Source organism: Homo sapiens, chromosome 9, assembly GCF_000001405.40.
Source record: "Homo sapiens chromosome 9, GRCh38.p14 Primary Assembly".
Classification (NCBI taxonomy): domain Eukaryota; kingdom Metazoa; phylum Chordata; class Mammalia; order Primates; family Hominidae; genus Homo; species Homo sapiens.
Genome location: NC_000009.12, coordinates 125,207,028 through 125,233,360, shown reverse-complemented (window position 1 = coordinate 125,233,360; position 26,333 = coordinate 125,207,028). Strand labels below are relative to the sequence as shown.

At 46.0% G+C, this 26,333-nt stretch overlaps 1 protein-coding gene across 9 annotated transcripts in view; it reads right to left on the bottom strand.

The window, feature by feature from the left end:
* Positions 1–26,333, bottom strand: part of RABEPK (Rab9 effector protein with kelch motifs) — a 33,620-nt gene that overhangs the window by 801 nt on the left and 6,486 nt on the right. For 4 of the 9 annotated variants that reach the window (NM_005833.4, XM_017014177.2, NM_001174152.2 and 1 more), the window contains 5 exons: positions 25,640–25,797; positions 19,839–19,991; positions 12,661–12,822; positions 5,302–5,451; positions 616–765 (listed from right to left, as the gene is read on the bottom strand). In NM_005833.4, the coding sequence (NP_005824.2) occupies positions 616–765; positions 5,302–5,451; positions 12,661–12,822; positions 19,839–19,991; positions 25,640–25,797 (773 nt within the window). Of the gene's footprint in view, positions 1–615; positions 766–5,301; positions 5,452–12,660; positions 12,823–19,838; positions 19,992–25,639; positions 25,798–26,072; positions 26,253–26,333 lie in introns of those variants that run through there. The other 5 variants (NM_001174153.2, XM_005251641.5, XM_017014179.2 and 2 more) reach the window with 4 other exon arrangements.

The window sequence follows — 26,333 nt, the reverse complement described above, 5'->3', positions numbered from 1 at the left end:
TCTCAGACAAAAAAAAAAAAAAAAAAAAAAACAATTTCCAGATAGTGAAAGCCAAAATCTGAATAAAATTTAAAAAGTAATGAAATTTCTAGAAATGCTCAGTGATTTACTGTAGCAGCCGAGTCCTAACAAACAGGAGTAAAAGGAAAAAAACCTTATGGCAGCATTGCTGCTTTCCTGATGTCATCCCCTACAGAGTTTTCATTCTTTTGGATTTAGATATAGAGGAACCAAATTGGAAGCACTGCATCACTTTTTTCTTTCTTTCTTTTTTTTTTTTTTTTGAGACAGAGTCTCGCTCTGTCACCAGGCTGGAGTGCAGTGGTGTGATCTCAGCTCACTGCAACCTCTCTGCCTCCTGGGTTCAAGCAATTCCCCTGCCTCAGCCTCCCGAGTAGCTGGGACTACAGGCGCCCGCCACCACGCCTGGCTAATTTTTTGTATTTTAGTAGAGATGGGGTTTCACCATGTTGGTCAGGATGGTCTCGATCTCCTGACCTCGTGATCTGCCTGCCTCGGCCTCCCAAAGTGCTGGGATTACAGGCGTGAGCCACCGCATCACGTTTCAAAGAATGTTTAGATTTGTTTAAAGATCCCCCATGGACACCTGCTCACCTGTGTGATACTGGTACATTGTGTCCAGTGCTCCTGCAGGAGTCATTCCACCAAAGATGTACACATGTTTTCCCATGGCCACAGCTGAGTGGGCAGCACAGCCTGCTGGAGCAGCCCCAGTGGGATTTAGCTTCTGCCATTTCATGTCACCTGCCAAGAGAAAGAAAGAGCTTTGGCGCAGCATGGGCTAAGATGTGCTTTCAAACTTATCTATCTACTGTAGTTTGCACACCAATCACTGAAAGTCATTCACCAAGAGCTCTGAGAGGTTTAGTGCACATAAGAATTATTTGGGGAACTCTGACATTATGATTGGGTAGTCCAGGGAGGAAGGCAGGGAGGGGCTCAGTGATTCCCAGAATCTCAGGCGATTCTGATGTAGGCAGTCTTTGGATCACACAGAAATGTGATACAACCTTTATAATAACAGTCACCTTCAACCATTCACTATTAACTGCCTCGAATTAGCTCAGTTTCTCTCTCTCTCTCTCTCTGTCTCTGTGTGTGTGTGTGTGTGTGTGTGTGTGTACTTTAAATACAGTTCCTGGGCCGGGCACGGTGGCTCACGCCTGTAATCCCAGCACTTTGGGAGGCCGAGGCGGGCGGATCACCTGAGGTCGGGAGTTCGAGACCAGCCTGACCAACATGGAGAAACCCCGTCTCTACTAAAAATACAAAATTAGCCAGGCATGGTGGTGCATGCCTGTAATCCCAGCTACTCAGGAGGCTGAGGCATGAGAATCGCTTGAACCTGGGAGGCGGAGGTTGCGCTGAGCTGAGATCACACCATTGCACTCCAGCCTGGGCAACAAGAGCGAAGCTCCGTCTCAAAAAAAAAAAAAAAAAAAAAATACAGTTCCTTAGCGATTTTGTAAGTGCTGGCTAAACAACAAATTTTGCTCACTTAATTTTCATAACAGCCCTATGAAATTTCTATTACTTCTGCCTATCCCCTTTCTTATTCTTTTTTTTTCCGCTCTGTTGCCCAGCCTGGAGTGCAGTGGCTTGATCTTGACTCCCAGGTTCAAGCAATTCTCTGCCTCAGCCTCCCGAGTAGCTGGGATTACAGGCACCTGCCACCGGGTCTGGCTAATTTTTTGTATTTTTAGTAGAGACGGTGTTTCACCATCTTGGCCAGGCTGGTCTTGAACTCCTGACCTCGTGATCCACCCACCTCGGCCTCCCAGAGTGCTGGGATTACAGGCGGGAGCCATGGCCTGGTGCCTGGCCTCCCCTTTCTTCTTACAAATGAGCAAACAAGAATAGAGAAGGAAAGAGACTTGTCCGAGACCCTATAGCTTGTAAGTGGCACAGCAAGACTGCACTTAGGTGTGGCTCCAAAGCCTGTGTCTCCAAAATCTCTACACGATAATGTGCTGCCTTAGCGCCTACTTCCCACCTATTTTTGCAGGGAAACTTGCATCTTTTCAAACAAGCATTTTTTTTTCTTTTGAGACAGAGTCTCACTCTGTTACCCAGGCTGGAGTGCAGTGGCGCGATCTCAGCTCACTGCAACCTCCACCTCCCGGATTCAAGCGATGCTCCTGCCTCAGCCTCCAGAGTAGCTGGCACGTGCCGCCACACCCGGCTAATTTTTGCATTTTTAGTAGAGACAGGGTTTCACCATGTTGGCCAGGCTAGTCTCAAACTCCTGACCTCAGGTGATCCGTCCACCTCGGCCTCCCAAAGTGCTGGGATTACAGGGGTGAGCCACTGCTCCCAGCCAAAACAAGCATTTAAATAAGGCAAGCTATCACTGGATTTTAGATTTAGAGAACTACTTGGGTAGGCAGGAAAAATAGTCAACAAGTAGTTCCTAACACCAGAAAAAGGCTCTTTTTAAAAATAAGCATTAAGACCCCATCTGACTGCCCGCAAGGAATGGTTTTGTGTAAATAGTTTCCATCTGTCGGCCGGGCGCAGTGGCTCACACCTGTAATCCCAGCACTTTGGGAGGCCGAGGTGGGCGGATCACAAGGTCAGGAGATTGAGACCATCCTGGCTAACACGGTGAAACCCTGTCTCTACTAAAAATACAAAAAATTAGCCGGGCGTGGTGGTGGACACCTGTAGTCCCAACTACTCAGGAGGCTGAGGCAGGAGAATGGCATGAACCCGGGAGGCAGAGCTTGCAGTGAGCCAAGATTGCACCACTGCACTCCAGCCTGGGCAACAGAGCGAGACTCCATCTCAAAAAAAAAAAAAAATAGTTTCCATCTGTCAATGCAAGGCAGGGGCCCAGCATCTCAGAGTAAGAAGGGAGAATCACCCGGTGTGGCCAAAATTCTAGCCAATGCAAGAATACAAAGCCAGTGTCCCCTGGCCTCAGCTGTCATGGAGCCAGATAATTCAGGGCTTGGGAAGTCAGCCCGATACACTACACAGGACTTCCCATGCCTTCTGCCCATTGTTCCAGTTCTTGTAGTCTGGAGCAATGCAGAACATGTTCATTTCTTCATCCCTCCACTCAATAACAGGTATGAGCCGGGAGCAGTGGTTCACGCCTATAATCCCAGCACTTTGAGAGGCCAAGGCGGGTGGATCCCTTGAGTCCTGGAGTTGGAGACCAGCCTGGGCAACATGGTGAAACCTCATCTCTACAGAAAATAAAAAAATTATCTGGGTGTTGTAGCACGTGCCTGTTGTCCCAGCTACCCGGGAGGCTGAGGCAGGAGAATCACTTGACCTGAGAGGCAGAGGCTGCCATGAGCTAAGATCGCATCAGTGCATTCCAGCCTGGGCAACCAAGTGAGACACTATCTCAAAAAAAAGAAAGTACCTGTCACCCACTATCTGCCAGACACTGTGCTAAGTGCTAGAAATGTACTGGAGAACAAAATAGACAAGTTCCCTACCATAATGGACCTCACAGCTTGAAGGAATTGCCCAGAATGAGTCCAGGGTCTCTCCACAGCATATCAGCCCTTCAGATACTTAAAGGATATTTCTCATGTTCTCTCTAACCTTCCTCTTCCCACTGTTTTCAACCATTTAACATGAAAAGCATGAAACTCTAGTCATCTACATCCACATTATCCAGATCCTTCATGGGTTAATGGCTAACACCAGAAAGAAATCCAGTAGGCCAACACAAAGCATAATGGGTTGTAATGAAAGGAGAGCACTGTTGGAAGGTTAAGAGACAATAAATGGCTGGGTCCATAGTAAGCACTCAGGAGATTATTTAGTGCTATGATTTTTTATTATTAGTATTCTGTCCAGAGGTAACAGAATCTGATGAAGATTCTGCCAGCTGGTCAAGTTACCTACACATAAGAGCAAGGCTATATTTTCTTTTTCTTTTTTCTTTTCTTTGAGACGGAGTCTCACTCTGTCGTCTAGGCTGGAGTGCAGGGGTGCAATCAGCTCACGGCAACCTCCACCTCCCAGGTTCCAGCGATTCTCCTGCCTCAGCCTCCCACGTAGCCAGGACTACAGGTGCCTGTCACCAAGCCTGGCTGATTTTTTTTTTCTTTTTTTCTTTTTTTTTTGGAGACGGAGTCTTGCTGTGTCGCCCAGGATGAAGTGCAGTGGCATGATCTTGGATCACTGCAACCTCTGCCTCCTGGGCTCAAGCAATTCTCCTGCCTCAGCCTCCCGAGTAGCTGGGATTACAGGCATGCACCACCACGCCTGGCTAATTTTTATATTTTTAGTAGAGATGGGGTTTCACCATGTTGGCCAGGCTGGTCTCGAACTCCTGACCTCAGATGATCCACCTGCCTTGGCCTCCCAAAGTGCTGGGATTACAGGCATGAGCCACTGTGCCCAGCTCTTTTTTCTGAGATGGAGTCTCACTCTGTCACCCAGGCTGGAGTGCAATGGTGTGGTCTCGGCTCACTGCAACCTCTGCCTCCCGGGTTCAAGCAATTCTCCTGCCTCAGCCTCCCAAGTAGCTAGGACTAGAGGCGAGTGCCACCACACTTGGCTAATTTTTTTTATTTTTAGTAGAGATGGGGTTTCACTATGTTGGCCAGGCTGGTCTCGACCTCCTTACCTCATGATCCCCCAGCCTCAGCCTCCCAAAGTGCTGGGATTACAGGTGTGAGTCACCAAGCCCGGCTTTTTTTTTTTTTTCTTTTTTTTGGAGATGGAGTCTTGCTCTGTGGCCCAGGCTGGAGTGCAGTGGCGTAATCTTAGCTCACCACAACCTCCACCTCCTGGGTTCAAGCGATTCTCCTGACTCAGGCACCAACGTAGCTGGGATTACAGGCACATGTGCCATGACAATAGGCTAATTTTTGTATTTTTAGTAGACACGGGGTTTCACCATGTTGGCCAGGCTGGTCTCAAACTCCTGATCTCAGGTGATATGCCTGCCTCAGCCTCCCAAGGTGCTAAGATTACAGGCATGAGCCATTGCACCTGGCCAAGCAAGGCCATATTCTTTCAAAGCACACTAAAAAATCACTTGAGCACAGAAGTTTGAGATCAGCCTGGGCAACATGGTGAGACCCCATCTCTACCAAAATAAAATTTTATATTAGCCAAGCATGGTGGCACACACCTGTAGCTCCAGCTACTGCGGAGGATGAGGTAGGAGGATTACTTGAGTCCTGGAGGCTGAGGCTACTGAGATCATGCCACCGCACTCCAGCCTGAGTGACAGACAGAGATCCTGTCTAAAAATAAATAAATAAATAAAAATAACAATTTTAAACAGACAAGCCCCCATGCCCTGCTTACTTATATCAATGCAGTGGAGGTCATCATAGAATCTGTCCCCCGCCAAGCCTCCGTGGATGAAGAGCTTTGTCCCTGCTGCCACCATCACATGACCATGCCGGGGAGATGGAGGATTTCCAAGTGTCTCTGGCTGTGACCAGGTCAGAGTGTCTAGAAAAGTAAATTCAATAACATCAAATGGCAAAACTATTAAAAAAGAACACGAGAAACAGGCCCAAGCCTCTGTAGCACCTCCTAGCAAGCGGAGCTGTCCCATGCAGGAAGCAACCCTGGGGTCATTCACTCCAACTCCCCCAGCCAATCCAGGCATCCCTCCTTTTACATCCTATAGGCTGCTGCGGTGGCTCACAGTTGTAATCCCAGCACTTTGGGAGGCCGAGACAGGTGGATCACCTGAGGTCAGGAGTTCGAGGCCAGCCTGGCCAACATGGTGAAACACTGTCTCTACTAAAAATACAAAAAAAAAAAAATTAGCCAGGTGTGGTGGCAGGTGCCTAGTAATCCCAGCTACTTGGGAGGCTGAGGCAGGAGAATTGCTTGAACCCGAGAGGTGGAGGTTGAAGTGAGCCGAGATTGCGCCATTGCATTCCAGCCTGGGCGACAGAGCAAGACTCTGTCTTAAAAAAAAGAAAAAAAAAAGTCCTACAGAGGCTCTGCGTGCATGCTTCTAGGGCTGGAGAGCCCACTACCAAACATGCCTGCCCCTTCTACTCAGCACCCGGAAGCCATTTCTCGCTATGAAATAAAAACGATCTCCTCTTTAGCTTCAAACTAAAACTGCCACAAAGTCAAAATGAATGAGTCTGTTTCTGTGACAGCCCTTCAGAGTCATCTTCTTGTTATTCATTTATTTAATGTATTATTATTATCATTATTATTATTATTATTTGAGACAAAGTTTCGGTCTTGTCGCCCAGGCTGGAGTGCAATGGCATGATCTCAGCTTACTGCAACCTCTGCCTCCCAGGTTCAAGCGATTCTCCTGCCTCAGCCTCCAGAGTAGCTGGGATTACAGGCATGCAACACCACATGCAGCTAATTTTTGTATTTTTAGTAGAGACAGGGTTTCTCCATGTTGGTCAGGCTGGTCTCGAACTCCTGACTTTAGGTGATCTGCCCACCTTGGCCTCCCAAAGTGCTGGGATTACAGGCGTGAGTCACCACGCCTGGCTTCTATTTATTATTATTATTTTTTGCAGACAGAGTCTCGCTCTGTCGCCCAGGCTGGAGTGCAGTGGCACAATCTCGGCTTACTGTAACCTCCGCCTCCCCGGTTCAAGCAATTCTCCTGCCTCAGCCTCCCGAGTAGCTGGGACTACAGCCACATGCCACCACCCCCAGCTAATTTTTCTATTTTTAATTGAGACGCGGTATCACCATGTTGGCCAGACTGGTCTTGATCTCTTGACCTCGTGATTCGCCCACCTTGGCCTCCCAAAGTGCTGGGATTACAGACGTGAGCCACCGTGCCCGGCCCCATCTAATATTTTGTATTTTCATAGAGACGGGGTTTCACCATGTTGCCCAGACTGGTCTCAAACTCCTGAGCTCAGGCAATCTGCCCACCTCGGCATCCCAAAGTGCTAGGATATAGGTGTGAGCCACTGTGCCCAGCCTTGTTATTTATTTATTTTATAAGTAATGTTTCAATAACAATTTCATCCCTTAATGACTAATATTTGGACAAGTTACTTGTCTATGTCAGTGGCACTCAACTTTTTTTTTTTTTTTGCAGGGGGTCGGGGGACAGAGTTTTGCTCTGTTGCTCAGGCTAGGATGCACAAGTGCGATCTTCGCCCACTGCAACCTCCACCTCCCAGGTTCAAGTGATTCTCCTGCCTCAGCCTCCTGAGTAGGTGGGATTACAGGCACCCAAAACCACACCCAGCTAATTTTTTTTTTTTTTTTTTGAGACAAAGTCTTACTCTCTTACCCAGGCTGGAGTGCAGTGGTGCGATCTTGGCTTGCTGCAACCTCTGCCTTCCAGGTTCAAGCGATTCTCCTGCCTCAGCCTCCTGAGTAGCTGGGATTACAAGTGTGCACCACCACGCCCAGCTAAATTTTTTTTTTTTCTTTTTCTTTTTCTTTTTTTTTTTTGAAACAGAGTCTTCCTCTGTCACCCAGGCTGGAGTGTAATGGTGCAATCTCAGCTCACTGCAACCTCCGCCTCCCAGGTTCAAGTGAGTCAACTGCCTCAGCCTCCCAAGTAGCTGGGATTACAGGTGCCTACCACCAAGCCCGGCTAATTTTTTGTATGTTTTTTAGTAGATACGGGGTTTCACCGTGTTAGCCAGGATGGTCTCGATCTCCTGACCTCGTGATCTGCCCGCCTCGGCCTCCCAAAGTGCTGGGATTACAGGCGTTAGCCACCACTCCTGGCCCTTAATTTTTGTATTTTTAGTAGAGACGGGGTTTCACCATGTTGGCCAACCTGGTCTCAAACTCTTGACCTAAAATGATCCACCTGTCTCAGCCTCCCAAAGTGTTGGGATTATAGGCATGAGCCACTGCGCCCATCCTAAATTTTTTCATATTTGTAGTAAAGCTGAGGTTTTGCCATGTTGGCTAGGCTAGTCTCAAACTCCTGACCATAAGAGATCCACCCCCCTGGGCCTCCCAAAGTGCTGGGATTACAGGCATGAGCCACTGCATCCAGCCATTTTTTTTTTTTTGAGATGGAGTTGTGCTCTTGTTGCCTAGGCTGGAGTGCAATGGCACGATCTTGGCTCTCACTGCAACCTCTGCCTCGCAGGTTCAAGCAATTCTCCTGCCTCAGCCTTTCAAATAGCTGGGATTATAGGTGCACACCATCATGCCTGGCTAATTTTTGTATTTTTAGTAGAGATAGGGATTGACCATGTTGCCCAGGCTGGTCTTGAACTCCTGGGCTCAAGTGATCCACCCACCTCAGCCTCCCAAAGTGCTGGGATTGCAGGTGTCAGCCACCACACCCAGTCTTATTATTATTTTTAGAGATGGGGTCTTGCTATGTTGTCCAGGCTGGACTGGAACTCCTAGGCTCAAGTGGTCCTCCCACCTCAGCCTCCCAAGTAGCTGGGACTATAGGCACACACCACTGCATCCTGCTAGACTTAATTGATTTGCTGAAGGGGTTGGGGAAAAAAACAGACTAGTCTTAAATAAAAGTTAGCAGGGACTCCTGATGTGGCAGTATAGGATAATGGTTAGAATATGGGATTTGGAGCTGAAACCAGGTTATCTCACTATATAACTATGTGGCCTTTCACCAATTACTTCTCTAAGCTGCAGTTTCTATGGCTGTAAAATAAGGATACAGACAATACTGGCCGGGCGCAGTGGCTTATGACTGTAATCCCAGCACTTTGGGAGGCCAAGATGGGCGGATCACGAGGTCAGGAGATCGAGACCATCCTGACTAACACAGTAAAACCCCATCTCTACTAAGAATATTTTAAAAATTAGCCAGGCGTGGTGGCATGTGCCTGCAGTCCAAGCTACTCGGGAGGCTGAGGCAGGAGAATTGCTTGAACCCGGGAGGTGGAGGTTGCAGTGAGCCAAGATTGTGTCATTGCACTCCAGCCTGGGCAACAGAGCGTGACTTCATCTCAAAAAAAAAAAAAAAAGACAATACCTACTTTTAAGAGCTGAGGTATGAATTAAATGAGATAATATACATAAAGCATGAAGGAAAAAAAAGTACCCAATACATGAGAGTTATGAATATGATGATTATTACGTTTTACTACAGGCAACCCTTCTTATCTTCAAAGCTGTACATATATAGAATTCTGGAAAATTAATCATTTCTATATACCAGAAAAGTCTTAAAGGAGTACTGCAAAAACTCTGTTGTTTTTTTTTTTTGTTTTGTTTTTGTTTTTTGAGATAGAGTGTTGCTCTGTTGCCCAGGCTGGAGTGCAGTGGTGCGATCTTGGCTCACTGCAACCTCTGCCTCCTCCAGGAGAAGCGATTCTCCTGCCTCAGCCTCCCGAGTAGCTGGGATTATAGGCACCTGCCGCCATGCCTGGATAATTTTTTGTATTTTCAGTTGAAACAGGGTTTCATCATGTTGTCAAGGCTAGTTTTGAACTCCTGACCTCAAGGGATCCACCTGCTTTGGTGTCCCAAAGTGGCCTCCCAAAGGATTACGGGCATGAGCCACTGCGCCCAGCCTGCAAAAACTCTTTGAAACAAAGGTCTGCCAAACAATTTGTCTTTGAATTACTGTTTATGGTATGCCTGCTGGTTGTTCAAGGAGTCCCCAGTGTCCCAAGGAATTTAATTTAAAATTACCTGAAATGGTTTCTGCATAAATATGTTCCTTATAGCATTTTTTTTTTTTTTTTTTTTTTAGAGTCAGGGTCTCGCTCTACTGCAAAGGCTGGAGTGCAGTGGTGCAATTATGGCTCACTACATCCTCAAACTCCTGGGCCCAAGCGGTCCTCCAGCCTCCTGAGCCGATGGGATTATAGGCATGAGTCAGCATACCTGGCTTGTTCATTACAGTATTGTTTATAATAGACAAAAATTGGAAATAGCCTAAGTGTCCATGAGCAGGTTTAATTATTAGTATAGCCATGAGGAAATATTACACACTTTTTAAAAAATTTATTTATTTTTTTGAGACAGAGCCTTGCTCTGTCACCCAGGCTAGAGTGCAGTGGCGTGATCTTAGCTCACTGCTACCTCCACCTCCCAGGTTCAAGGGATTCTCCTGCCTCAGCCTCCCTAGTAGCTGGGATTGCAGCAGAGGGTGGCAGGCAGGCACCTGCCACCACGTCCAGCTAATTTTTTGTATTTTTAGTAGAGACAGGGTTTCACCATGTTGCCCAGGATTACCTGACCTCAGGTAATCCACCCACCTCTGCCTCCTGGGTTCAAGCAATTCTGCTGCCTCAGCCTCCTGAGTAGCTGGGATTATAGGCGCCCGCCACCATTCCTGGCTGATTTTTGTATTTTTAGTAGAGACAGGGTTTCACCATCTTGGCCAGGCTGGTCTCGAACTCCTGACCTCATGATCCACCCGCCTCTGCCTCCCAAAGTGCTGGGATTACAGGCGTGAGCCACCGCGCCTGGCCTAAGCACTTATTAAAAATGATGGTGAAGGCCGGGTGGTGTGGCTCAATGCCTGTAATCCCAGCACTTTGAGGGACCAAAGCTGAAGGATCACTTGAGGCTAGGAGTTTGAGACCAGCCTTGGCAATGCAGTGAGACCCTGACTCTAATATTTATATAATAATCATCATTTCAAAATGCTGGTGAAGACTTTCTGATTGCATGGAACAATGCTTAAGTGAAAAATATAGGATGCAAATGTAACATATAGAATTATCTCTGTCCTTTTTTTTTTTTTTTTTTTTTTTTGATACAGAGTCTTGCTCCCTCACCCAGGCTGGAGTGCAGTGGCAAGATCTCGGCTCATTGCAACCTCCGCCTCCGGGGTTCAAGTGATTCTCATGCCTCAGCCTCCCAAGTAGCTGGGATTACAGGTGTGCGTCACCACGCCCAGTTAATTTTTTGTATTTTTAGTAGCAACGAGGTTTCACTATGTTGGTCAGGCTGCTCTTGAACTCCTGACCTCAAGTAATCTGCCCTCCTCAGCCTCCCAAAGTCCTGGCATTACAGGCGTGAGCCACCACATCTGGTTTGAATTATCTCTGTTCTTAAAAAAAAAAGATTGATAATACACTGAGATGTTAACAGTAATTTAATTTTGGGGTGATAGTACATACACATGTACACACACACACACATATACACATACATATGTTTTTTTTCTTGTTCCTTATAGTTTTATATATTCAAAACCAATATTATTTAAACTTTTAAAACTGCTTTAAAAGAATCACAAAGCCCATTCTTTCTGGAAAGAGAAAAGTCACACTGTGATGTGTCTTTTTTTTTTTTTTTCCCAAATACTCTGGCTTGGGAATGTGCTATCTCTTAATTTTCCCAATTTTACTTTGCAAGGTAAAAATTTTGGCTGAGTGTGGTGGCAGAGGTGGGCAGGCAGAGGCAGGCAGATTGCTTGAGCTCATGAGTTTGAGACCAGCCTGGGCAACATGGCAAAACTGCATCTCTACAATAAAAATACAAAAATCTGGCCGGGTGCAGTGGCTCAAGCCTGTAATCCCAGCACTTTGGGAGGCTGAAGTGGGCAGATTACCTGAGGTCAGGCTTCAAGACCAGCCTGGCCAACATGGTGAAACCCTGTCTCTACTAAAAACGCAAAAAATTAGATGGACATGTTGGTGCATGCTGGTAATCCCAGCTAGTTGGGAGGCCGAGGCAGGAGAATCGCTTGAACCCGGGAGGCGGAGGTTGCAGTGAGCCGAGATCGGGCAACTGCACTCCAGCCTGGGCAACAGAGCGAGACTCCATCTCAAAAAAAAAAAAAGAAAAAGAAAAAAAATCACCCAGGCATGTACCTGAGGCGGGGAAAGGAAAGGCTGAAGGGGAATCTTTTACTTCTGTTTGTTTTTTGTCTTTCTTATTCTTTCTTTTACTTTTTTACTTTATAAATTGTATGGTTTAAACTTTTTAACTTGATCATTATACCTTTTTATTTTTTTATTTAGTTTTTGAGAGAGTCTCGCTCTGTTGCCAAGGCTGGAGTGCAATGGCACGATCTTGGTTCATTGCCACCTCCGCCTCCCGGGTTCAAGTGATTCTCCTGCCTCAGCCTCCCGAGTAGCTGGGATTACAGGCACCCACCGCTGCACCCGGCCAATTTTTGTATTTTTAGTAGAGATGGGGTTTTGCCATGATGGCCAGGCTGGTTTCAAACTCCTGACCTCAGGTGATCCTCCCACCTGGGCGTCACAAAGTGCTGGGATCACAGACGTGAGCCACCGTTCCCGGCCTACCTTTTTAGTTTTATTTATTTATTTATTTATTTATTTATTTATTTATTTATTTGAGATGGAGTATTGCTCTGTTGCCCAGGCTGAGTGCAGTGGCCCAATCTTGGCTCACTGAAACTTCCTCCTCCTGGGTTTAAGCGATTCTCCTGCCTCAGCCTCCTGAGTAACTGGGATTACAGGTGCATACCATCATGCCCGGATAATTTTTGTGTTTTTAGTAGAGAAAAGGTATGTTGGCCAGGCTGTTCTCGAACTCCTGACCTTAAGCGGTCCACCTGCCTCAGCCTTCCAAAGCTCTGGGATTACAGGTGTGAGCCACCATGCCAGGCCTCACTATCCCTTTTTAAATGCCAATTTTGCTGTGGGAAAAAGATATCAGCTAAGAGATATAACAAAGAAGTCTAGAAGTGAGACACTTAGTCAGGCTTTCCTTTTCTAACTTCTGCTTCCTATATTAGGTAATGTGTAAACTGGGATGGCCCTGACCAGCCCCAAGGTGCCCACCAGTCCATACTTGCGTCAAACACATGCAGCTTCGTGTCCTGCACGGGCTGGGCACCTCTCTCTCCGCCCCCAAAGACATATAGCTGGTTTCCAATGGCTGCCGATGATGTGTGGAATGTTCTTGGGGATGGTGGGGGGCTGGTCACTTCTGGCGTGGTCCACGTCCTGGTTTCTGGGCCAGAGAGAATGCAGGCACTTAAAATATCCAGGTAGAGGGGCTTCTGACCTTGACTCTGGGGCTGAGTGAAGTCAGTTTCCAAACTCCAATCCCCAGGGGGGCCAGCATAGTTTTGGGCAGGGATCTCATACTCACAAACATCAAGGAAGAATGAAGATGATACTTAGGATTTGCCAAGACAGTCCAAAATCCCCAAGATTTAAAAGCTGTAAGCACAAGAATGGAGTCAGGCTGGGTGCAGTGTGGCTCATGCCTGTAATCCCAGCACTTTGGGAGGCCAAGGCGGGCGGATCACTTGAGGTCAGGAGTTCGAAACCAGCCTGGCCAACATGGGGTAAAACCCCATCTCTACTAAAAATCTGAAAAATTAGCCGGGTATGGTGGTGGGGACCTGTAATCCCAGCTCCTCAGGAGGTTGAGGCAGGAGAATCGCTTGAACCCAGGAGGTGAAGGTTGCAGTGAGCTGAGATTGCACCACTGCACTCCAGCCTGGGTGACAGAGCAAGGCTCCATATTAAAAAAAAAGAAGAAAAAAAAGAGGTCAATTTGTTTTGGAGGCCTTCAAATATCCTCTCTGAACCCTCTTCTACTTTGCTCACTATCGCTCCCCCTAACATCTGCTAACATTCATTCCCACTAGATGCCAGAGTCCAGGTGTGCCAGATTTCCCAGAAAATGTGGCCAATAAAAGAAAGTAGGCAGGCCATGTGCAGCAGCTAACACCTGTAACCTCAGCAGTTTGGGAAATCGAGGTAGGAGGATTGCTTGAGCCCAGGAGTTTGTGACCAGACTGGGAAACAAAGCAATATCCTGTCTCTACAAAAAATCAGCCAGGGGTGCAGTGGCTCACGCTTGTAATCCCAGCACTTTGGGAGACCAAGGTGGGTGGATCACTTGAGGGTAGGAGTTCTAGACCAGCCTGGCCAACATGGTGAAATCCCATCTCTACTAAAAATAAATAAATAAATAAATAAAGCCAGGTGTCGTGGTGGGGACCTATAATCCCAGCTACTCAGGAGGCTGAGACAGGAGAATCACTTGAACCAGGAGGCGGAGGATGCAGTGAGCTGAGATCATGCCACTGCACTCCAGCCTGGTTGACAAAGCGAGACTTCATCTTAAAAAATAATAATAATAAAATAAAATAAATTAAAAATTAAAAAAAATTAGGCTGAGCACAGTGGCTGTAAGGCCTGTAACCCTAGCACTTTGGGAAGCCAAGGCAGGAGGATTGCTTGAGCCCAGGAGTTTGAGGCTGCAATGAACTATGATCGTGCCATTGCACTCTAGCCTGGGTAAAAGAGTAAGACCATATCTTGAAAAAAAAAAAAAAGAAAGAAAGAAATGAAAAAAAAAAAAAGACAATACTATTACATTTCAGTAGCAGTAATAACAGTCCCTACTAAACAGTAAATGCTAAACAAATATTAATTTCCGCATTTTACAGGTAAGAGAATTGAAGTAGGGATGGATTAAGTAACTTTTTAAAAGAGACATGGCTAGCCAGGCTCGGTGGCTCATGCCTGTAATCCCAACACTTTAGCAGGCTGGGGCAGGTGGATTGCTTGAGCCCAGGAGTTTGAGACCAGCCTGGGCAACATGGCAAAACCCTGTCTCTACAAAAAAATACAAAAAAAAATTAGTCGGGTGTGGTGGCGTATGCCTATAGTCCCAGCTACCTGAGAAGCTTAGGTGGGAGGATATACTGAGCCTGCAGCGGTTGAGGTTGCAGTGAGTCAAGATCACACCACTGCAACTCCAGCCTGGGTTACAGAATAAGGCAAAGAAAGAGAGAGAGAAAGAGAGAGAGAGAGAGACAGATAAAGTGACATGCCTAAGAAATGGCTGAGTTGGAATTTAAACTCTTTCAGTAACACCAAGATCTTTCTAATTCCCACTCCTCTGACTGGAGAATAAAATTTCACCACCTAGATAGATGTATAGAAGCTTATTTCTTTTAAGGATGAACCTGGGTTTTATAGAAGCAGATGCATTAATTGAGCACCCTCAATGGGCAGCATCATTGCCCTGGGCACTGCCATCCCTGGTGTCTTCACTCAAGCTTGGGAAGTGAGCGGAAGTATCTCTACTTTTAGATGAGGAAACTGAAGCTCTGCACATTTAAATCCTTTCCTGCAGGTTATAGCATATGTGCGTAGCAGAGCAGGAGTTTGAACTCAGTTCTTTTTTTTTTTTTTTTTTTTTTTTTTTGAGACGGAGTCTCGCTGTGGCTCCCAGCCCAGAGTGCAGTGGCGCGATCTCGGCTCACTTTGCAAGCTCCGCCTCCCGGGTTCACGCCATTCTCCTGCTTCAGCCTCCCGAGCAGCTGGGACTACAGGCATCCGCCACCATGCCCGGCTAATTTTTTGTATTTTTTTTTTTTTTAGTAGAGACGGAGTTTCACCGTGTTAGCCAGGATGGTCTCGAGCTCCTGACCTCCTGATCTGCCCGCCTCGGCCTCCCAAAGTGCTGAGATTACAGGCGTGAGCTACCGCGCCGGGCCTGAACTCAGTTCTATCAGAGTCCCACACTTGCTCTACCATAACACACCAAGAAATTCTGTCTTTTGTAAAAGGTCTACATCCAATATATAAAATGCTACAGGAAACATCTGTAATATGTGTGGGACTCAAATGGGGACCTGGAGACTGAAAAAGTCTCAGCCTATATCCAAAGCAAAATGTAGCTGTCTCTATAGTTACAGATGTTGGAGAGCTTTTGGATCTTAGAGGGAGCTAGAAAGGTATACATGTCACCTCCAGGCCCAGAAGACCCTAGGGCTGTATTCCTGCCAACTCAAACACCAGCACAAAGAATCACAAAGGAGTCCTGAGCATTTGAGGGACTTGCCTTGGTAACAAATGCAACTAAGTACATATTTCATATTTCTTGGGCATGATGTCAAATTATATTTTCTAGGAGAGAAAAGGGATATGATAGAAAATCACCCTCTTTAATATAAAAATTAGCTGGGCATGGTGGCATGTGCCTGTAATCCCAGCTACTCGAGAGGCTGAGGCTGGAGAATCATTTGAACCCAAGAGGTGGAGGATGCAGTGAGCTGAGATTGCGCCACTGCACTCCAGCCTTGGCAACACAGTGAGACACTGTCTCAAAAATAAAAATAAATAAATAAATAAATAAAATAAAATCACCCTCTTTGACAGCTTTCCAAATTCTCACTTTATTTTATTTCAATGGATACCATTGTTGAAAATCAAAAGGCCAGGGTTCCAGAACTGATTTCCCTTTGCCAAACCTTAACTACATCAACTACCACAACAATTACTGAGCATTAATTATGTGCCAGATACTGAGTTTATTTAAATCCTTGACAAATTAACAAGGTAGAAACTATTACTATCCAATGTGACAGAAAACAGAGGCAGAGAGAGGTTAAATCACTAGTCCAAGGTCATAGTTAGTGCATAGCAAAACAGAGACCCTCATCTGTGCCCTTAAGCACCATATTATACTGCTAGTCCTCCAAGCAAATTGGCTTCACAATTAGCCAAATGGTCTGCCAAGTGTCTACTCTATCACTTTCTTCTTTTTTTTTTTTTTTTGAGACGGTGTCTCACTCTGTCACCCAGGCTGGAGTGCAGTGGCGCGATCTCGGCTCACTGCAACCTCCACCTCCCAGGTTCAAGCGATTCTCCTGCCTCAGCCTCCCAAGTAGCTGGGACCACAGGCACCTGCCACCAAGCCCAGCTAATTTTTTCTTTTGTATTTTTAGTAGAGACGGGCTTTCAGTATGTTGGCCAGGCTGGTCTGGAACTCCTGACCTTTTGATCCGCCCTCCTCGTCCTCCCAAAGTGTTGGGATTATAGGCATGAGCCACCATGCCCGGCCGTGTCTACTTTATTTCGGACAGTGTTCTGTACCCTGAGTATTCAACAATAAACAAACTCTTCCCTTCAAAGCGCTTATGTTCCACAGAGGGAGGGCATGGAAGAGGAGGGAAGACAGGAAATAAATACCCAAACAAATAAATCAAATTAAAAGATAACATACTGTCTAAATGTGCTGAAGGAATTTAAATACTTGACATATAAGAAAATTTGGTCCTAGTTCCTGAACTCTGACCAACTATTGTACAATAGTTTTTTTTTTTAATTTTAATTTTTTTATCGGGCAATACTCAACAAATGTAGTAGGTGGGCAACACCCCAAATATATTGTTGATAGAGGGAACTGAGCAAGAGTTGGCTGACATGTGAAAAATGTCCAGGTCAAAAAATGCTTTTTTGAGAGAGAGTCTCACTCATTGCTCAGGCTGTGGCATGATCTCGGCACATTGCAACCTCTGCCTCCAGGGTTCAAGCGATCCTCCTGCCTCGCCCTCCTCAGCAGCTGGGACTACAGGCATGCACCACCATGCCTGGCTAATTTTTGTATTTTTAGTAGTGACAGGGTTTCACCATGTTGGCCAGGCTGCTCTGGAACTCCTGACCTCAGGTGATCTGTACACCTCAGCCTCCCAAAGTGCTGGGATTACAGGTGTGAGCCACCGCACCGGCCCAAAATGCATATTTAAACTATGTACAAGTTTTTTTGCCTATCAAATTAGCAATGTTTAAAACTGATAAATTCAGTGCTGGTCAGTAATGAAAGAAACACTGTTAAACACAGTTGGAGAGAGGATAAACCGGAAAAATCTTTCTGGAGAGCAATTTGGTAGTATGTATCAAAACCTTGAAAAGGTTCACAGTATTTTACCTAGCCTTTTTATTTCTTGGCAGGAACCCTAAGAAAATAATTTGAAATACAGTCTATGACTTCTGAATGAAGATGTTCACTGCTTTGTTAATTATAATGGTAAAAACCTGAAAAGAACTAAATGTTCATAAATGGAGAAGTTATGATATTATGGAGTATTTTATATATAATGGAGTATGATACAGCCATTAAAAATGATGTTGGCCAGGTGCAGTGGCTCATGTCTGTAATCCCAACACTTCAGGAGGCCGAGGCAGGAAAATTGCTTGAGCCCAGGAGTTTGAGACCACCTTGGGCAACATGGCAAAACTCTGTCTCTACAAAAAATACAAAAAAATTAGCTAGGCATGGTGGCAAGCGCCTGTAGTCCCAGCTACCTGGGAGGCTGAGGTAGGAGGTTCACCTGAGCCTGGGTGGTCGAGGCTGCAGTGAGCTGTGATCATACCACTGCATCCCAGCCTGGGCAACAGAGTGAGACCCTGCCTCGAAAAAAAAAAAAGTTACCAACAATAAAAAAACCCAAAAAAAACAAACAAATGATATTATATTAACAAAGCATTGTTATTAATAACAAATCAATTATTTTTGCTAAAGCCAAAAAAAAAAAACCCACCTATTTCTCCTGGGATTATGAAATTAAAAGGAAAAAGTTATGAATGTGTAAATATAGTATGATCTCAGGCTTGTAAAAACAGAGAAAAGACAGGAAAAAGACAGAAAGCTGGGCCGGTCACATTGGCTGATGCCTGTAATCCCAGCATTTTGGGAGGCTGAGGTGGGCGGATCACCTGAGATCAAGAATTTGAGACCAGCCTGGCTAACATGGAGAAACCCCATCTCTGCTAAAAATACAAAATTAGCCAGGCATGGTGGCGCATGCCTGTAATCCCAGCTACTTGGGAGGCTGAGGCAGGAGAATCACTTGAACCCGGGAGGCAGAGGTTGTGGTGAGCCGAGATCACACCACTGCACTCCAGCCTGTGCAACAAGAGTGAAACTCCGTCACAAAAAAAAAAAAAAAGACAGAAAATTGGTAATAGCCTTAATATAATAATGGATTGTGGATGACTTTTTCCACTTATTTGTACTTTTCAAATATTTTACAATGAACATAAATAATATTTGTAAAGAGAAAAACAAAAACAAACAAACAAAAGGCAAAAAGACAAGTCCACTTCCCCACAGGTGGTTTAGCAACCTCCTCTCAGTAGCGACGTTCCCAAACTGCTTCCTCTATAATAAAACTGCCAGTGATGGAAACAGCAAGATATGAAAAACAAAAACAAACAAACAAAACGAACAAACAAAATGTCTTGCCAGTGAGACAAGTTAGGAACTTTGTACTTTTGGCTAAAAGAAACATACTAGGAGGATCCAGGTCAGTGTTTCTTAACTTTGGCACTACTGACATTTTAGACCAGACAATTCTTCCCTGTGATGGCTGTCTTAGGCACGACAGGATATATATACAGCATATCTGGCCTCTACCCCCTAGAAGCCAGTAGCCCACGCTACCCCCAGTTGTGATAACCCAAAATGTTTCCAGATATGGCCAAATGTCCCCCGGGGGCACAATCGCCTTTACTGGAGGACTACTAATCTAGGTGACTTGGGTTCTAAGCCTGGCTCAGTCACTGACTCTCTTGTGACTTTATTTTTAAAAAAATTTTTTTTTCTTTTTCTTTTTTTTTTGAGACAGAGTCTCACTCTGTCGCCCAGGCTGGAGTGCAGTGGCATGATCCCAGCTCACTGCAATCTCCGCCTCCCGGGTTCAAGCGATTCTCCTGCCTCAGCCTCTTGAGTAGCTGGGATTATAGGCGCCCACCACTACACCCAGCTAATTTTTCTATTTTTAATAGAGATGGGGGTTTTACCATGCTGGCCAGGCCAATCTCAAACTCCTGACCTCAAGTGATCTGCCTTCTTCAGCCTCCCAAAGTACTGGGATTACAGGCATGGGCCACCATGCCCGGCCTCTTGTGACTTTAGGAAAGTCACTTTGCCCTTGATAAACCTGAGTAGCCCACTTGATATAGCTGTTCTCTGAAGTCCCTTCCAGCTTTGACATTTAACAAGTTAAAAATTGTATGTGTTACCAACAATTGTTTTTATTCTGTTGTTTTCAGATTATGCTACAAGTTAAAATTCCTATTTTCTATGTCAGCAAAGTTAAATGGTAATTAGTATAATCCAAATGTACTGGAATTATAATTGGATTTATATATATGTGTGTGTGTGTGCATGAAAGTTTATTTGTATGTACGTAAATAAAATAACCTTTGGCTACTTACCAGGATTCAGGACTTGTAGACAATTTCGATTTCCTGATTGGTTGGCACCTCCAAATACCCAGATACGGTCAGGTGTGCAGGAGGGAATGAAGCTAGCATGTTCATACCGGGGCAAGAGGCCCTTGCAGGTATCTAAGTCCCACTGGTGTTTTCCTGGAAAACATTTCACCCAGTTCCTAGATTGGGGCTGCCAATTATTATATTGGTTGGCACACTTGAGGAGGGTCATGAGAAGAGGGCCATAAACATAAATGAAAACCACTGAATCACTTAAAGGGCATGTTGTCAACCTCCAGAAAATTCTATAATAGATACTTAGGGGGCTGTCTGCCTAGTCCATAGACCCCGTTCTATGGAAACTGTCCCCACTTTGTCAACCACAAGGATAGATCCCAGATGACATGTTTGTACTATGCTTTGACTTTGTAGCTTTAGCTGATTGGGTTGAAGGTAGCCAATGAAACCAGAATGAGCCAACCAGATCAAGTGCTTCCACTTTCTCATGATCCTGGGCTCTACTTCCTGTCCTTGAATTCTTTGAAACACGCCTGTATTGGCCAGGTGCAGTGGCTCACGCCTGTAATCCGAGCACTTTGGGAGGCCCAGGTGGGCGGATCACGAGGTCAGGAGATCGAATCCATCCTGGCCAACATGGTGAAACCTCATCTCTACTAAAATACAAAAAATTAGCCAAGCATAGTGGCACGTGCCTGTAGTCCCAGCTACTCGGGAGGCTGAGGTAGGGGACTCGCTTGAACCCAGGGTTATTTTACTTGGTAAACCAAGCGGAGGTTGCAGCAAGCCAAGATTGTGCCACTGTACTCCAGTCTGGGAACACAGCAACACTCTGTCTCAAAAAAAAAAAAAAGAAAGAAAGAAAGAAACACGCCTGTATCTGACTAAATAAATTCCCCCTTTTTCCTCTGGTTTAAGTGAGATTCTGTTACTTGCAAATAAATGATGGCTGGCTAAGACAAGTTCACAGAATAGTAATACCTAACCTTGGTCAGGCGCTGTGGCTCATGCCTGTAATCCCAGCACTTTGGGAGGCCGAGGTGGGCGGATCATGAGGTCAGGAGATCAAGACCATCCTGGCTAACATGGTGAAACCCTGTCTCTACTAAAAATACAAAAAATTAGCTGGGCGCGATGGCAGGCGCCTGTAGTCCCAGCTGCTTGGGAGGCTGAGGCAGGAGAATGGCATTAACCCGGGAGGTGGAGCTTGCAGTGAGCTGAGATTGCGCTCCAGCCTGGGTGACACAGTAAGACTCCGTCTCAAAAAACAAACAAACAAACAAAAAACCCTAACCTTTATTATTAACAATTATTTTACTTGGTTAACCAATTACACAAGACCTTTACAGGCATTATCTTGTTAGATCTGAAGCAAGTTATTATCCCTACTTTATAGAGCACTGAGGTCCAGATGGTTGAGATGGTGTAGCCAGGGTCACAAAGCTATTAATAGGTTGCAATAAAGATGTAAGTTGAACTAATTTAATGTAATTGAGGGCTAGAAGTGATTTAATTTACCTTTGAATTTTTTTTTTTTTTGAGATGGAGTCTTGCTCTGTTGCCCAGGCTGGAGCGCACTGGCGCGATCTCGGCTCACTGCAACCTCTGCCTCCCAGGTTCAAGCAATTCTCCTGCCTCAGCCTCCCAAGTAGCTGGGATTAAAAGTGTGAGCTACTATGCCTGGCTAATTTTTGTATTTTTAGTAGAGATGGGGGTTTCACCATATTGGCCGGGCTGGCCTCAAACTCCTGACCTCAAGTGACCCACCCGCCTTGGCCTCCCAAGGTGCTGGGGGATTACACCTCGTCCAGCCTACCTTTGATTTTTTTAGTGCAGGGAGTAGAAATTCAAATGCCTAGGTGGGAGTAACAAAAACTGTGGCAAACTGGAGAATAAGAGCCCTCTTGATAGGTGGCAGCTCAGTTCCAAATAATTGTTGCCATGTAGACAGGGAGGCCTACTGACATTAGATTTTCCAACATTATCAAGAGAAGCCAAACCATTTAAATTTTTATATGTAGATTTCTGCATAATTGGTTGGTAAACAATTTAAGATTATGCTGGGCGTGGTGGCTCACGCATGTAATCCCAGCACTTGGGGAGGCCGAGGTGGGTGGATCACTTGAGGTTAGGAGTTCAAGACCCTCCTGGCCAACATGGTGAAAACCCATCTCTACTAAAAATACAAAAATTAGCGGGGCATGGTGGCACGTGCCTGTAGTTCCAGCTACTTGGGAGTATGAGGCAGGAGAATCACTTTCTTTTTTTTTTGAGATGGCGTCTCGCCCTATCACCCAGGCTGGAGTGCAGTGGCGCGATCTCGGCTCACTGCAAGCTCTGCCTCCCGGGTTCATGCCATTCTCCTGCCTCAGCCTCCCGAGTAGCTGGGACTACAGGCGCCCGCCACCACGCCTGGCTAATTTTTTTTTTTATTTTTAGTAGAGATGGGTTTTCACCGTGTTAGCCAGGATGGTCTCAATCTCCTGACCTCGTGATCCGCCCACCTCGGCCTCCCAAAGTGCTGGGATTACAGCATGGTGAGCCACCATGCCCGGCCCAGGAGAATCACTTTAACCCAGGAGGCAGAGGTTGCAGTGAGCCAAGATCGTGCCTCTGCACTCCAGCCTGGGTGACAGTTTGAGACTCCATTTCAAAAAAAAAAACAAAACTTAAGATTAAAACAATAGGGAAATGTTACATGGACCTAACAAAATACGTAAGTGGGTCACCATTGTTCAACTTCTGCCCTTGTGTAGAGCAAAGAATAATCGTTTCTTTTATTTTCTTTTTTTTTTTTTTTTGAGACGGAGTCTTGCTCTGTTGCCAGACTGGAGTGCAGTGGCATAATCTTGGCTCACTGCAACCTCTGCCTCCCAGATGCAAGCAATTCTCCTGCCTCAGCTGGGACTACGGGCACAAGCCATCATGCCCAGCTAATTTTTTTGTATTTTTAGTAGAGACAGGGTTTCACCATGTTGGCCAGGATGGTCTCGATCTCCTGACCTTGTGATTTGCCTGCCTCGGCCTCCCAAAGTGCTGGGATTACAGGCGTGAGTCACCACGCCCAGCTAATAATCATTTCCTTTTTTTTTTTTTTTTTTTTTGAGACGGAGACTTGCTCTGTCACCCAGGCTGGAGTGCAGTGGCACGATCTCCACTCACTGCAAGCTCCGCCTCCCGGATTCACGCCATTCTCCTGCCTCAGCCTCCCCGAGTAGCTGGGACTATAGGTGCCCGCCACCACGCCTGGCTAATTTTTTGTATTTTTAGTAGAGACAGGGTTTCACCGTGTTAGCCAGGATGGTCTCGATCTCTTGACCTAGCGATCCGCCCGCCTCAGCCTCCCAAAGTGCTGGGATTAGAGGCGTGAGCCACTGCGCCCAGATCCAATTGTTTCTTATTAGCAGGTTCATTCATTCATTCATTTAAATACTTATAGAGCACCCACTCTGTACTAAGCCCTGTGGTAGTGTCTGGGATACAATGATGAGGAAAATATGCTATCTGTTTCTGAGGAGCTTATGTTCTTGTGGGGCAGACGGACAAGAAACAATCACATGTGATAGGGCTGTGAAGGCAGACAGGATGGAAGAGCACATGAGACTACGGACATACAGAGTCATGTAGTGCCTGAACGAGTCCAGAGGTAACAGGAAAGGTTCCTGGTAGAAGTGACATTTAATCTGAAATCTGAAAGATATAGAGAAGCCAGATGATAAGAAAAGGGAAAAACATTCCTAGCAGAGGGATCTGTGTGTGCAAAGGCATGGAGGCCAGAGAGCTCAAGCTGTGTTCAAGGAACTGAAGGATATCCAGTGCAGCAAATGTGGGTTGGAGAGAGCCAAGAAATGAGGTTGGGGCCGGGCTCGGTGGCTCACGCCTGTAATCCCAGCACTTTGGGAGACTGATGCAAGCAGATCACTTGAGGTCAGAAGTTTGAGACCAGCCTGGCCAACATGGTGAAACCCCCATCTCTACTAAAAATACAAAAATTAGCCAGGCTGGTGGCACGCGCCTGTAATCCCAGCTATTCAGGAGGCTGAGGCAGGAGAATCGCTTGAACCCAGTAGGCAGAGGTTGCAGTGAGCCAAGATTGTGCCACTGCACTCCAGCCTGGGTGACAGAGCGACACGCTGCCTCAAAAAAAAAAGGCTGGTGTGGTGACTCACATGCATAATCCCAGCACTTTGGGAGGATGAGGCGGGAGGATCACCAGGTCAGGATTTGAAGACCAGCCTGATCAACATCGTGAAACCCCATCTCTACTAAAAATACAAAAATTAGCAGGGCATGGTGGCGCACACCTGTAATCCCAGCTATTTAGGAGGCTGAGGCAGGAGAATTGCTTGAACCCAGGAGGCAGAGGTTGCAGTAAGCCGAGTTTGCAGCACCACTGCACTCCAGCCTGGGCAACAGAGCAAGACTTGGTCTCAAAAAAAAAAAAAAAAAAGGGAGGTTGAGAAAAGTCTGAAATAGGGAGTGACATGGTTAGATTTGTATTTTAGATGATATTCGCTGGCTAGGTAGAGAAAATGCACTGTATAGGGGGTAAACTTGGAAGCAGGGAGGCTGGTGAGGAGGCTCTTGTAAGTCTAGTTGAGAGATAACAGTGGCTTGGACTACAGTAGTAGTAGTGGAAATGGACAGACATGGATAAAGATAAGAGATATGTAGGCTGGGCGTGGTGGCTCATACCTGTAATCCCAGCACTTTGGGAGGCCAAGAAGGGTGAATCATGAGGTCTGGAGTTCGAGACCATCCTGGCCAACATGGTGAAACTCAGTCTCTACTAAAAATACAAAAGATTAGCTGGGTGTAGTGGTGGGCGCCTGTAATCCCAGCTTCTCAGGAGGCTGAGGCAGGAGAATCGCTTGAACCTGGAAGGCACAGGTTGCGGTCAGCTGAGGTCGTGCCACTGCACTCCAGCCTTGGCAACAGAGTGGGACTCCGTCTAAAAAAAAAAAAAATTAGCTGGGCATGGTGGCACATGCCTGTAATCCCAAGTACTTGGGGAGGCTGAGGCAGGAGAATCTCTTGAACCTGGGAGGCAGAGGTTGCAATGAGTGAAGATCGCGCCATTGCACTCCAGCCTGGGCAATAAGAGCGAAACTCCATCTCAAAAAAACAAAAACAAAAAACAAAGAAAAGAGATATGTAGGGCTTAGTGATATATTGGATATGTGAATAGAATGAGTGGTGGTAGTCATCAATGTATCCTACAGAAATATTTGATGAATAAATGGCTGGACAACCAGGGCTCCATAAGGGTTCTCTCCCGCTAAACAAGGAGGTACTGGTCAGATGAATGTGTGCCAGGGGCCTACTAAGAAACCTGAGGGATCTGTCAGTGATGCTGACTTTTTCTTTTTTCTTTTTTTTTGAGACAGAGTCTTGCTCTGTCACCCAGGCCGGAGTACAGTGGCATGATCCTGGCTTACTTTAACTTCCATCTCCCCAGTTCAAAGTAATTCTCCTGTCTCAGCCTCCCGAGTAGCTGGGACTACAGGTGCCCACTACCACACCCGGCTAATTTTTTTGTATTTTTAGTAGAGACAGGGTTTCATCATATTGGTCAGGCTGGTCTCGAACTCTAACCTCAGGTGATCCACCTGCCTTGGCCTCCCAAAGTGCTGGGATTAGAGGCGTGAGCCACCACACCTGGTCCTGGCCATGTTTTCTTATAGGAAAACCCTGCTGGTGTTTTTAGGAATGCCCTGCTCATGGCTAGCAGCACACAGCCCTGTTCTCTGGCCATAGGGCATGTACTCTGCAGCTGCTGATCTTACCCAGATCCATGGTGTGCACGTCTGAGAAGCTTCTGTTTGGATTTGCTCCCCCAACAATGAAGACCTTCCCTCTCTTGGCATTACCAACTGGGGGTAAATATGAACAGCTGTGGCCAACTCGAGCACAGGGGCTGTCTCCAGGGACAGTCAAGGTGTACCTGCCAAAGGAAGGATGTATTCAGGAGGCCTGAGCAGAGAATAAATGCAGTAGTGTGCTCTTTCCATTCCTCATGAAATATTCACCAGAATGAAGAGCCTTATGCAGACACTTTAAATTGTACCCAATAAAGCAGCACTTCTCTGATTAATAATAGTACCTCCCCTTTGCACACAGTCTTTGGCTTTTCAATTTTGTCACTGTCTTCATCTCACAGTAATCTGGTAGGAATGCACTGGGCTTATTTTTCCCCATTTGGTAGATAGGGAAACTGACCTCCAGAAATGTTCAGTGATGGGTCTTGGCACAGGATGGTGGCTGTGAGCATGGTGTATGAATTCAGACAGATCTGGTTCAAATTCGAGCTCAGGTACTTCCTAGATGTGTGACCTTTTGGAAGTCACTTAACCTTTCTGAACTTTAGTTTACTCATTTGTGAAATGAGGACAGCAATGGTTCTTTTTTTTTTTTTTTTAAGATGGAGTTTTGCTCTTGTTGCCCAGGCTGGAGTGCAATGGCGTGATCTCGGCTCACTAC